The 14,073-nt window shown below is 36.3% G+C and overlaps 1 long non-coding RNA gene across 1 annotated transcript in view; it reads left to right on the top strand.

Annotated features, from left to right (window-relative positions):
* LINC01499 (long intergenic non-protein coding RNA 1499) overlaps window positions 1-13,629 on the top strand; it is a 121,875-nt gene extending 108,246 nt beyond the window's left edge. The window contains exons 4-6 of the long non-coding RNA NR_120584.1: window positions 3,338-3,464; window positions 12,358-12,447; window positions 13,536-13,629. This is a non-coding gene — a long non-coding RNA (long intergenic non-protein coding RNA 1499). The remainder of the gene's footprint in view (window positions 1-3,337; window positions 3,465-12,357; window positions 12,448-13,535) is intronic.
* The last annotated feature ends 444 nt before the right edge of the window (window positions 13,630-14,073 follow it).

Below are 14,073 nucleotides of genomic sequence, written 5' to 3' on the forward strand. Positions count from 1 at the left end.
ATAGAAATTAGGCAGATAAAGAGGTGAAAGGGTGAGTTTGGTCTATATTTCATTATAGTAATAAAATCTAACTACTGACATGTATATTGTTTAATAATGTATACTATGTTTTCAAATTTATTATTGAATAGGAGATGCCTAACCCTCCTCAGAGAAAGCCAGGCATGGAATTACTGTCACCATGTAAGACCTGAGGAAGAAGAAACCCCAAAAGTTAAAGTAGGCAAGACTTGATAGCTGAAAAGTATCATAGCTGGAGCTCCAGCTCAGGAATTAAATCCTATTCACCATGATAATTAGAAAAAAAATCAGATGGAGAAATTAGCTTTCTCATTTTTAGCCCTGATTTAATCATAAAGTTCTTTCTCTAGATTTGTCTAGAGGTACATTTCATGGCCTGTTCCTCCCAAATGTCCAACTTCATTTGCTACCTAAAATTAAAGTAGGCCCTCTTTTTTCTTCTGAAAGACATTGTACTCCCAACAAAAATGGGAAATTTTCTTCATAAACAAGTAACACTCTAACACACTGGAAATAAAATCCCCTAAGAAGATATATTAGACCTCTTCATCAATACAGCCAGGTAACCTGTTTTCTTAGCTTTGAAATCACATAGTAGCAGCAGAAGGTGTTAAGAATGAAAAAGCACTTATTTAAAACACAAATATTCATGATAGTAGCAGCAGTGTATAACGGAACTGACCAGGGAAATTGGTTTTTGAATAATTGTATTTATTGTATTTTCCTTCACTGGTAGTAATAAATATCTCTCTGGAAGAAACATACAAGCAGTCCTGGATGTTGAACATTTCCATAAATTAGCAGTGTCCCCATGGAGGGGCTCAGTTTTTCTGCACCCCTCCATTGCAGTGACATAGTTTGGGGCTAGATAATAGAGAGTTAACTGGAGCTCCAGTTTGTGCCTCATTCAGCTACCTTGTACTATGCTGCCATATTTTGAATCAAAGTCCCAACTTCCAGCTCTGATACGGAAATTGGTATTTCCAATAATCTCTATAGATCACAGCTCTATAATTTCAGACATGGTGATTGATGTGTTCATGGTTTCATACCCACACCAAGCGTGTTTTGCACATTATTCAATAGCATTTGTTCAGCAATTATTTTAGCTTCTCCTCTTGCCAGCTTTATGCTTAACAAAGACAATAGAAATACAATAAAGAAGACAGGCATATTCTCATATCCTGAATATGAGATCAGACCAATATTAATCCAACAATCATTCATATAAATGTGGAATTCTATGAAGACTTCCATAGAATAAAGAAAAATAATGCTAGAAGAACATAGAATAGGTGAGCCTCGCCTAGTCTAGGGGAATAAGAAAGTCTCTTCTAAGTGGCTGGGTGTGGTGGCTCATGCCTGTAATCCCAGTACTTTGGGAGGCCTAGGTGGGTGTATCACAAGGTCAGGAGATCGAGACCATCCTGGCTAACACGGTGAAACCCCATCTCCACTAAAAATACAAAAAATTAGCCAGGCATGGTGACAGGTGCCTGTAGTCCCAGCTACTTGAGAGGCTGAGGCAGGAGAATGGCTTGAACCTGGGAGGTGGAGCTTGCAGTGAGTGGAGATCACGCCACTGAACTCCAGCCTGGGCAACAGAGCGAGAATCTGTCTCAAAAAATAAATAAATAAATAAATAAATAAATAAATAAATAAATAAATAATAAAAAAGGAACTCTCTTCTAAGAAAGTAACTTTTAGGCTAAGATGTAAAAGATAGTAGACATTATCAATCAAGAAGCAAGAGAAAGAGCATCCCAGGCAGATAAGATTCAGAATTCAGCATGATGCATTTTTAAAGCTAGTGGTATCTCATTGTGGGTGGAAAACAGGAAAGTGCTTTTTGACTAGAGGTTGAGGAATTGGGCCAGACTCAACAGAGTCTTGAGGACTTTTTCAGGCTTTGGATAAAAAAAGTGACAGGAATCCATTCAGGTATTTCAAAGAGTAGAAGTAGATGTGTTGAGGTAAAATGTGATCACTATTGTAATCAAAAGGACCAATCTAGTTTTTCTTTGGATTCGCCATTGGAAAAAGCAAAAATATTTGTAGTTCACTGGGCCAGAGGCTATTGCAAGAATCTGTGGAAGATATGACAGAAGTGGGTCACAAAGAGATGGTAGCAGAGATAGAAGTTAACACATTAAAGAGTTATTGAATATAAGAGGGACTGGAGATGTACATTAAAGAGTTACTGAACATAAGTGGGCTATATTTTGGGAATGACTTAGGGAGAATTAAGTGTAAAGGATGGCTCTTAGGTTTCTGTTTTTTTCAAGCTTATATAAGGTGGAAACACTGAGGAAGCTGATTTAGAGAACCAAGAGGATTATGCTTGGAGTGGAGGAACCATCACAATTTGTTCTTTTGTTATATTAGGTACAAGTAGTTTTTCAAATACCAAGGAGAAAGAACTGTTGAGTAGGTAGCAGAGTTTACTGATTCAGAGCTAGAAATACAGATCAGGATTATAGACATATATTTGATAGTTATTTGCATAGACTTCTCATTGGACTGAAGCCCTAGGAACAGAAGACATTACTTAAGTGATGATATTGCTATGACTACACATGGTCTTGCCCTTGTGTAGTGAACAGAGCAAGTTTGGGGATAGCATGTGAAAATCTCAGCTTTGGACAAAAGGTTTATCTGTCTGGGGACACAACATTGATATAGCCGATAAATTGGGCTAAAAAGGTAGGTTAGGGAATGTATTAGTTTCTAGGGCTGCTGTAACAAATTAGCATATATTAAGTGGCTTAACAGAACAGAAACGTATTCTTTCACAGTTTTGGAAGCTAGGAGTCTGAAATCAAGGTGTCATTGGGTTGGCTCTTTCTGGAGGTTCTTGAGGAGAGGCTGTTTTACATCATTCTTCTAGCTTCTAGTCTCTACTGCCAATCGTTGACATCCCTTGTTTTGTAGACACATCACTCCAGTCTTTACCTCCATCTTCACATTGCCCCATTGACTTCTTCTCTACATCTGTGTGTCTTCTTCTTTTTAAAGACACAAGTCACTAGATTTAGAGGCCACCCTAAGTCCAGGATGATTTTTTTTTGAGGTTCTTAATTACATCTGCAAATACTTTATTTCCAGATGAAGTGGGATTTCCCTGACCCCTTTGCAGGACTTACAACAGGGGTGCTTCATTTACTCAGCCCCCTGCTCTCAACTCCTCACAGAAAGGAGTGCACAAGCGAACAAGTGTGGGAACTGGAGTGAATGAACACTGGAACCGGCCAGCCCCTTCGGTGCTGGCAGGACCAAACTCCACTCACTTGGACCCATTGTGTTCTACCCCTTACAGGAGGGAGCACACAGGTGAGCAGGTGCAGGAACCAGCCGGACAATTTGCCGCCAGCAGGAATGAACTCCAAGCAGGCCCCACTGCAGTATCCAGGTCGGGGTGCCTGTGACTTCTGAAGCCACAGAGGGTGTGTTACAGTGCTTTTTAGCTTAAGTATTAACAGCTCAGTGAGCCCTTTGCCTTTCTGCATGAGGTGGTTGCCCTGAGTCAGCAAGAGCAGAGAGTCAGTGCGACAGCCTTTCATATCCACATTTGTGGCTCCCAAGCTCTTGTCTGGCATCTGGGAAAAAAAGGCTGCAAGAATAAATTGAAGGACGGTAAATGTGGGGGATTTTATTGCTGGTGAAAGTGGCTGTCAGTGGGAAGGGAAACTGGAAAGGGGACTGGGTGGGTAGACGATCTTTCCCCGAAGTCTGGCCATCTCCAGCTGGATTCTTCTCCAAAGTTACGCTGTCAAGCTGTCCTTCTGATGTCAAGCTACTTCTCTCTGATGTCCAGCTGTAGTCCCAATTAGCAGCTGAGTTGGGTTTTTATAGGCACAGGATGGGGCAGGGTGGGGCCATGGGTGGTTTAGGAAAAGGCAACATTCGAGCCAGAAAACAGGGATAGAAGTTCTCACTTTGAGCCACAGTTTCAGGCTTTTTGGCTTGAGGGTGGGGTTTTGCCAGGCACCTGCCCTTTTCTGCCTTGAATTTCTCTGCCCCCTGTCCCTATTACAAATAAAGTCATATTCTCAGGTGCTCAGGTACTTAGACATATCTTTTTGGGAGAAACAATTTAGCCAAATACAGTGAAATAGCAACACATGGATGACAAGGCATGCAGAAGGTGAGATTACATAGGGAGAAGGTGTAGATTTCTCAGGGACAGAGTGAAGAATGGAACTTTGAGGGGAAACAAAATATTTAAGAAGACTGAGGAAAAGTGATTATGATACTATGATGTCTCAAAAATCAAAAGAATGGAGTACTTCAGTAAGAAAAAGACAGTAATGACAAATACAGCAGAAGGTTAAAAAGCATCTACTGAAATTGTCAATAAAATGGTAGTTGATGACTTTACATTAAAAAATTTCAGTGGAGTGATATAAAATCTTTACCAGATCCACAATGTAGACAATGTTCTCTAAAATTTCAGAGACCAGCATAAATATGTGAATTTGGTTAGAATTACAAGCAATAAATGTTGAAGCAAACATTTGAATTCACATCTGTCTCCCTAACTCGTAGCGGTGTTATATAACAGAAAATGCAGCTGTTGAGTCAGCTACTTCTAGCTGTGTGATATTGGATATATCAACGAATTTCCTTGAACCTCAGGTTTTACATCTGAAGAAGCAGATTAATGGTCATATCTGCTCCCCAGGATGATTGTAAGGAAGAACACAGAAAATTGAAGTTAAAAGTGCATTGGAGTCAGGCACAGTGGTACATGTCTGTAGACCCAGCTACTCAGGAGGCTGAGGTGGTGGGATCCCTTGAGCCAAGGAATTCAAGTTCAGGCTAGGCAACATAGCAAGACTTCCTCTTTAAAACAAAAGTGCATTAGAAATTTCAGTTGGCTGTAAAAATGCATATTATCATTCTTCCCATAAAAGTTGATATCAATAAGGAGATTATATTTAGAGATAAAATGTTTTAGCATGTAGTAGTATTGGCAGCAGTATTTATAAGTGGGCCCACATGTAACATGGAATTGCTTCCCTGTTTGTATTGTATTGGTTACCGGTAGCCCTTCTTTTTACACAATTTTAGAAAGACAAATCTATGTAAATTTGATAAGAATATATCAAATTTCTTAACATATAAATAACATATAAATTTCTTAACATATAAATATATGTTAAGGTTACGTAGTTTTGTAAGTACAGTTGTTGGAACCTGGCTGAAAAATGTACTTGATGTTTTTCTTGTCAAATGTCTTTTTGTCATTACAGTACAGTGACACAAATGAGAATGATTCATACAGGAAATAAGAACTAGGAAACAGAATTGAAGTTGTTGGTGGCATCTTTTAAAGAAGTGGCCCAGGAGGAAAGGGACTAAATATATGCTATGACTAAATAGAATCCACAGGAACTAGGAAATAGAATTCAAGTTGTTAGTGACATCTTTTGAAGAAGTAGCCTAGGGAAAAAAGTGATTAAATATATTGGATATATTTTCAGAGTAACTATAAGGGAAAGAAAGGAAAACAGTGAAATTCCATATTTACCACTGTATATGAAGATGTTCATGATTATATAGATTAAAAAATAAAATACATGAGTACTTAAAATTATAATAATATACCAAGGAAATACTATTTGTATTTTTGTAGTAATTAAAACCAGGAAGTAATGGATTTTCATTTTATATTTTAATCAATCTACTTATTAAGACAATAATTACATGTACAATATGAGTTCTGGTTAACTGAGAAAGGGAAGATCACAAAATGGCAAAATCTTTGCCACACAGAATAATATTGCTCATGAGAAGAGATTTAGATAGTAAAAAATAGTGTCCTAAGGTAGTAGGATTTTGGGTATTTTCTAATTTTCTTTTAAATAGTTGCTAGGTTGCTAGGCTTTTATATGTTTTTGAATAAAATAAGAAATGTATGTTTGAAATTAGATCTTAAGAAATTAATTTAACCAGCACATTACATTGTGTTTCTTTCTTCAGCACTCTCCCACTCCCTTTCAAATTTTCCTTGTTTGTTACAACCAACTCCATAATCTTTTTATTCTCTCAGGAATAACCTTAACTTCTTTTAATATAGAAAACTGATGCCAACAGATTGGTATTATCCCAACTTTCTGCCACCAAATCAACACCTAATCATACCTTTACCAATCTCTTCTTCCTACTAGATAAAGAAGGAATTTACCTGCAGTCTCAGAAACCCAACCTAAGCATGCTCAAAGTAGAATGTATTGGCTTATTTTATCTGAATATCTGAAAATTGAGCTGAATTTCAGCACAGGCCTATCCAACAATATCATCGGAGCTCTGTCTCCTATCTTGGTTCTACTTTATTGGCCTCATTCTCACACAGATTCCCTCAGTTATATTTGTGTATATGTGCTACGTTCTTTTTTTTTTTAATCATATTCTCAAATGAGAACTTAATTCTGTGAGAGTACAAGGACTACAGATTCACAGCTGGGAACTATGCACAAATGTAAATAGGCTGATATTGAAAAAATTAAGAAGTTTCACAGATATCTAGGTGAGTATACTGCTTCTCATTCAACAGTCAGTGTGAGTGCTGCAGCTTTAAATCATGTTATAAACTCTAGAAAACCAACAACCTGGAACATTTTTTATAAACTCTGGGGAAAACTATCATGGTTTTCCCGATTTGTTGAAATGGGCTTCTTGATTTGTCAAGTTTAGAAATTCAGGGATATCACTTCTTTTCTTTTTCCCACTCTTCCTTCTTTCTTTCTACTTCCTTCCCTTATTAATGCATATTTATCTAATGTATTCCTTTTAATAGTTGCATATTTTATATAATAAATTATTATATATACTTTTGCCACTCTTTCTGCATAATCTCAATTTATTTTTGTTGCCATAAAAATACTGAAATGAATTTCTTTATATATAAAACCTGATGTACTTATTTCTGTGGATTAAATTTCCCAAATGAAGTCTGCTGGAAATATTGTTTGAGCAAGGCAACATTCTCTCACAAAGACCTTTTATAGCTTCAGTACCCAGTCTTACTAAAGTTGTGAAGCTTCTTCTCACCAAAACACTATTTCTTAAACTCCAAATAATTTTATTTCCATGATGATTCAGAAAATTGATTTTTCAGAGATGATGGGATGGATTCATTACAATGGTTTAGCAAAAGTTTTAAACTGGTTCTTTGCTCATTGTTGGGCAACAGACAGTAGCTCCCTTTCTTTTGACATTCTGCTTCTGATTCTTGTCAATTTCTCACTTTGGATACATTTTTTAAAGGAATACCTTTTTATAATTTAATGTCTTTCTCAGGATAAATTGTTTAAAGAAATTATCATTGCATTATTTACCCATTTCACGTGAGAATGCCTCGTACTCTTACATCAGAAAATTTTGCTCTCATATAATTTTCAGAGGTCTGCCTGGCCTCTTAGTTTCATGCCTGTTCCTGATGCATCCATCGGTTTTGAATACTTTATTTTTCTCTCACACTATTAATGATGACAATCATCATTTGGAACATTTAATGTGCTTTATCTCATTTTATCTTCTGACAACAGTCATCTGAGGCTTGTAGTCTTACAATTCCTATTTTAAATATATAGAGATTAACATAATTGAATAATTTGCTGATGGCCAGAGTTAGTAAATTGCAGAGCCTGGAGTGAACTCAGAAAATATAGACTAGAGTCTGTACAGTTGATTTTTAAGATTTACTGCTTGAAACAATGTTGACTTCCAGTAGTTACCTGAAATTGGTATCGTTAAGTCAGGTTTGAGAAAGTCATATACTCTTGCTATGGAGAAGAGCAACAGGGGCCTCTGAACTCATAACAGCAATCCAAGTTCTCTTGATGAATTGGTGTTGAGATAGATTTGGGGGGAGATAATTTATTAGGTTCCAACATCTAACAGTTTGTTAAATATATAGTCACTGGCTCCTCTTTTAGTGCTACCATAAATAGAACTTTATATTACTCTGGATTGACAGCTACCAAAAGACCTCATTTATACTTTTAAGAGGCAACCCACAGCTATATAAACCCAAGAGGAATCATAGAAGGGTGAGCAGCTGCCAAACAAACCCTCCCCAGAAGGAAGTCGACATTATTTGTTTTCCAGTGTTTTGGTCTTGAACTATCTGGATTGCCTTACCGTGGTCCTGATAGAACAAATGCCCTTGCATGTAGATTAAGGACTTATTTCTGTTTATTGAAAATTCCAACCCCTTTGGGCTTTGTTCTAATCCTTGATTTCCAAACTGGAAGCTTCTCTTGACATTTTAGCTTTAGTCAGTTTGTCCTATTTGGCTTTACAGATGCTATATGGTCAATCATTTCTATCTACTACAACAACAACCTAATTCTAGGAGATCATTATGGGAAGACTGTGGATCTGAACTATTGGGTCCCCTTAGTCTCTTATTCGATCCGGATTTAGGGATATAATTACTCCAAGAAAGTCACATTGTACCACTATCTGGCCACCATTTGGGGATCATGGCAATCCCCAACTGTGGTGGAAGCCGTGGAGGGCAAAAGAAAAACATGTATATTTATTTTCAGAGTTCCATCATGTCAGATATCCCTATGGTTCACAGGCTTCAAAATTTGCTGAAAATTTAAAAGATAATATTATTGCATACACTCGGTAGAAGTGAAATTCACATTTTTATTCAATACACTTTAGATATGAAATAGCTAAAATCAGAATTATGTATATAAATCCACAGGTCTGTAACTAGTGGATTAATAAACATTAGCTCTTACATCCAGGAAATAAACAATAGAATAGGTATGAGAGGAATAGGTGGCATTCAGGCCCAAAGATACTGCTGGACGCTAGAGGTACCCAACTACAGTATTGCATAGGAAAGGGTATTTTCTGAATAATGTAGAGGAAAGACAATACCTCTGATTGGTTTAATAGTTTGGATTAACATGCTGTGTGATGTCAAAATTATTTAACATTTCTTAGCCTATTTCCTTATAGATAAAAGAGAGTTAATGTCATCTACCTCATATAAATTTTGTAAATATGTAAATAAAGGCTCACAAATAGTTGCTACTATTTGTCGTTTATATATTCCAGATTCTGTGGTAAGGATTTAAAAGGTTATATTTCATTTAACACTCAGGAAAACTCTGTGATGTAAATTTGGTCATTACAATCATCTTGAAGATGAGAAAACTGAAGTTCAGAAAAGCTAAAAAGGCATTCCTAAGTTCTCATGGCTGGTAAAGGGTAGAACCAGAATTTGATTAGCTTCAATACTTTTAACCATGAAACTTATTCAGCATAAAGACGCACCAGGATAAAGTAATTGCGATTTTTGCTATTACTTTCAATGGCAAAAGTAATATGCCATTACTTTCAATGGCAAAAACTGCTCTTTTGTACAAACCTATAAATGGTATATAGGTCATGCCAAAAAGTATATTCCGTTATCAGATTCTATGAAATAAATAGTATTAAGAAAAAATAATGAAGAAATTAGATTCTCCCAAACTGGCTGTCCATGTCTTGGTGGTCCAGCATCGTTTACCTGGCCACAGGAAAGAATGTCAAAGAGAAATTAAAAACCCATTCATTATTTGTCTAATGAAAGTGTATCCAGGAAATAAGCCACAGTAAACTGATATTATTTAACATGTAAACAATGAACAATAACAAAGAGATTTAGTTGTCTGAAAAGGAATTCTCACAGTGAGAATTCCTGTGAAAATCATGTAAGATCCACAGAAAACCAAGAAATATGAATGAAAATGTCATATTTTGAAACAAAACAACAGGATATTCAAAGCCAGTCCTTGTGGTTTTTTTGTTTGTTTGTGACAGAGTCTCACTCTGTTGCCCAGGCCAGAGTGCAGTGGTGTGATCTCCATTCACTGCAACCTCCAACTCCCAAGTTCAAGCAATTCTCTTGCCTCAGCCTCCCGAGTAGCTGGGACTACAGGCATGTGCCACCATGCCCAGATAATTTTTGTATTTTTAGTAGAGACAGGGTTTCACCATGTTGGCCAGGATGGTCTCCATCTTTTGACCTCATGATCTGCCTGCCTTGGCCTCCCAAAGTGCTGGGAGCCACAGGCATGAGCCACCGCTCCTGGTCCAGTCCTTGTTTTTTGATGACATCTTAAGTCTTTACATCTTGGAGATTATCTGGAGAATCCTCTTGGCAAAACCAAGTACAGAGTTGTCATTTCTGAATGTGTTACTCAATTTTCTAAATTGCGATATATTCACTTTTCTCAAAGACTAACAGAAAATGAAATGAGGATTGTGAAAAAACCATCTCCAGCAGGTTCCAATGACCCCTTTGGACAAGAGTTCTCTGTAAAAGAAGGGAAAGACTAGTTTCTTTATTCCCATCTTGTATTAATACTGCAGTGGGGAGGCACAGTTAAGAACACCCAGTATCACAATAATTAAATACTCAAGCCAAATATGTCAGACTTTATTTCCACTGAAGAGAAGGTACACTGGTACATGGAGCAGAAAAGGTGTTTTGTTTTGGAGGCAAATGTTCAAATCAGCAGGTATGTTTCACCTTTTCTAATTCACAGTTTATAAAGATAACCTCTCCAGAATTATCTCCAATCAATACTCTTATTTACTGCCTCCTTTTGATTCTGATCATGAGTTTGAGAGACAACATCTATATTGTATTGTGAAACACATTCAATCTCTTTACCCACCCTCCAGGTCTCTTACGATGAAAAAGGTAATACCATCAAATATGGCATTGTAATCTCTTCTGGCCAGTCTATATTAAAATGGGTTCTTATTTTTCACTCATATCACACTACTTATATTTTAATTGTTAACTTCTCTAATATTGGAAAACATGACACATGTTCTTTTATGACTAATTTTTTATTAGTCATAATGAACCTGATAGAGTCATTGAAATCATCACATCCCTGCTCCCATATCACTTAAGTATATTTATCTCTATTCATGACTGGAAAAAAATATCTTCCTAACTTTGTCGCTATCAGACAACTCTCTGCTGAAGCTGTCAAGCCCTATTAAAATAATAGTCCTTTTATGCTGTAATCACCTCACACAAGATGGATAATCCTTCACCTTATATTTCTTTCTGTATTCAGTAACGGCGAGGGTGTTTAGACGCATTTTTAAAACAAAAGGCCAAAGGGAGCAAACTAAATGAATCTAAACAGAAAGGAAATATAGAATATAAAAATATTTTAATATCACTCAGATGAAAAGGAACCAAAATCATCAGTGAGCAGTTAACAGGTTGTTACTAAGTATTTGTGGTGTGCAGAGCATTGTACCATGTCATATGCAATCCTGTGGTAAATGTACTTATTTATGTATCCTACTGAACTACTCATTACAAGAACCATGCTGCTCATAGTGTGGTCAGCACATTGGGCCAGTCTCTGAGGAAACAGTTATGGAAATTGAGAGTTAGCATTATAAAACTTTTATATGAAATTAGGAAAATTTTATGACAGTTGAAATTAAAAAATGTTAATTTTTTTCTTTTCAGACCTAAAAAACATTAATTAATTTTTCTTTTCAAACCCTGAATGTAGCATTTCAAAAATAACTTTAAAACTATATTTTATACTTATTTTTGTATCTTTTTCTAGTAATTTATATATTTTATTAACTATTGGTCTAAGACAGAATGGGAAGAAAACTGGTTCCCACCGCAGATAGTGCAGAGGCACTGCCATGAGTATGGAATATTTCTTGGCCAGCTCTGTATTTCCTCATTGCATCCTGAAGTATAATAGAATCTACTTTGGGCAACCTATTACGTTCCTTTCATGGTTGATATATTCTATGTGTTATATAAATTTCACTATGTGTGTGTGTGTGTGTGTGTGTGTATATGTGTGTGTGTGTGTATATATATATATATATATATATATATATATATATATAAATACTATATATTCCAAGACAAAAAGCCAGCAAGATGACTAGAAAACCATGTTCCACCCATATTTATGTCTTGTTATTTCAATATCTTCACCTCTGCTAGTTAAATGAGCTCTGCTAATCAGCAATGTGGGCACCATCTGGTTAGAAATGCAGAATCTCAGGCCTACAGAATCAGAAGCAGCATTTTAACAAGATCCCTAGGTGATTTGTATGCACATTGAAGTTTGAGGTACCTTGGCTCAGACTAATGTGGAAGCTCCTAAAATGTCAAAAACATCATAGCTTCTAAGACTGTCACTAACATTAAAAACTTTGGTGCAACATGAAGCATATTTCATTAGTCAGGGCTTCAGCTCATTAAAAAAAATGCCAGTGTACACCTAAATCCCTGAGTTCAATTCATTTTGATTTTAAACTTATTCTCAGCATTCTTTTGCTACTTACATGGTGGAACTCCTTGAACAGAATAACAGACCATAGTGCCTGCCTGGAATTCAGACTGGAAAAGATTGAAATGTAAGTCACCCTGGGCTCTTTTAATTTAATATAGTCAAATTCAGTTATCCCATATTAACCCCAATCTAAGGTACATGGAGAACCTGGCCAGAAAATCTCTCTGGTCAACCTTCCTATCATATAGTGAAGAGAACCAGGACAGGGATTAAAAACCAGTGGAAAAAGCATTTGCTTGAGGAGCCCATAGCTTCAAATGTAAGTTGCAAAATATTCTAAATGAAAGAAGGGCCTGTTCTTTAATTGATTCATGCAGGAGTTGTTTCGTCTCCAAAATTACTATGAATTCTTAAGAAATCTTGCTAAATATTTTCCTATCAACCACTTCACTGTCTTGTCTGGCAACATCTATTGCTGGTCATCTCTTCTTCACTAAATCTATTCTTCGGATATGTTTCAAGTTGTTGCAATTTCCACATCTCTCAAAGAGGCAATGCAACACAGAGGAAAAATATATGGCCAGCTCTAGATACAGACAAACTTAGGTTAAAATTTCAGCTTTGCCACTTACAAACTGTGTTTCCTTGAGCAATTTGGGTAACCTTTATGAACCTCTGTGACTACGTGAATATCAAATTTACTGGGTTACGAGAATGGCAACAAACAACATAAGATGTTTGGTAAATGGTAGTTGTCACCATTATGCAATTACTGCATATGTATATAAATATGCTGTGTAATTGTGTGTGTATAAATTACATATGTGTATATGTGTTTGTGTGTGTGTGTGTGTGTGTGTGTATGCTTTGTTGACCACGATAAGCTTTGAACTCCATGAATTCTTTATCTCTAAATTTCCATTGACTTGCATAGTGCTTAAAATGATTGCTGAATGGAAATAGTATAAATGAAATAATGAATGAATGAATGAATGAAAAAATAGATAAACATTAATTGAACTAAATTGATAGAATACAATGCTGTCACCATTCTTGATTAGTCCCAAAGGCTATATATTCTGCCATGTGTTATTATCCTTATAGTTGTACTTGACCATAATGCATTTTTCACAGTTCCAGTTTCAATGTCAGCTTCTCCCCTTTGGGAAGGCTTTCTTGACTAAGTCAGTGTGCTTTTTTCTCCTCTTCTAGATCTGTGTAGTTCATATATCTGAAACACTGACTTCATCTCACTCATGAGAATTCAACAGTTATGCTAAAGATTGTGTTATGGGAGCTCCTAGAGGTAGGTGCGTTGCACCTTCTTGAAAATGAACTGCAATGCAAACAGATTTGCTTTGGGGACTTGGAATTGATATTCTTGACTTAGGTATGTCTGCCATCTTAGGAAACAGTAACACTCTCCTGAGAGTAAAATATCCTAAGATCATTACAGCCCAGTTCCTGTAGGTTATTTTAAACACTGACTCACAAGCTCAGAAAAATTTTGGCAAGATAGATTGGAATGAGAGTCAGAGTTTGTGTAGGATGTGGCTGTTTGAAAATCGGGAAGCTCATGTAAGACCTAAACATAGGGCAAAAAGGAAAAAAAAAAATAACCCACACATATAAATCCTGAAGGGATGAGGGAGTAGGATGGGGTGTTGAAGAAAGTATTGGCAAGAATGAAGAAAGTTTTTTTTTGTAAACAGATTCTTAGGAATGAGAGACACATACTGACTAAGCAAGC

This window comes from Homo sapiens, chromosome 11 (assembly GCF_000001405.40).
Source record: "Homo sapiens chromosome 11, GRCh38.p14 Primary Assembly".
Lineage (NCBI taxonomy): Eukaryota > Metazoa > Chordata > Mammalia > Primates > Hominidae > Homo > Homo sapiens.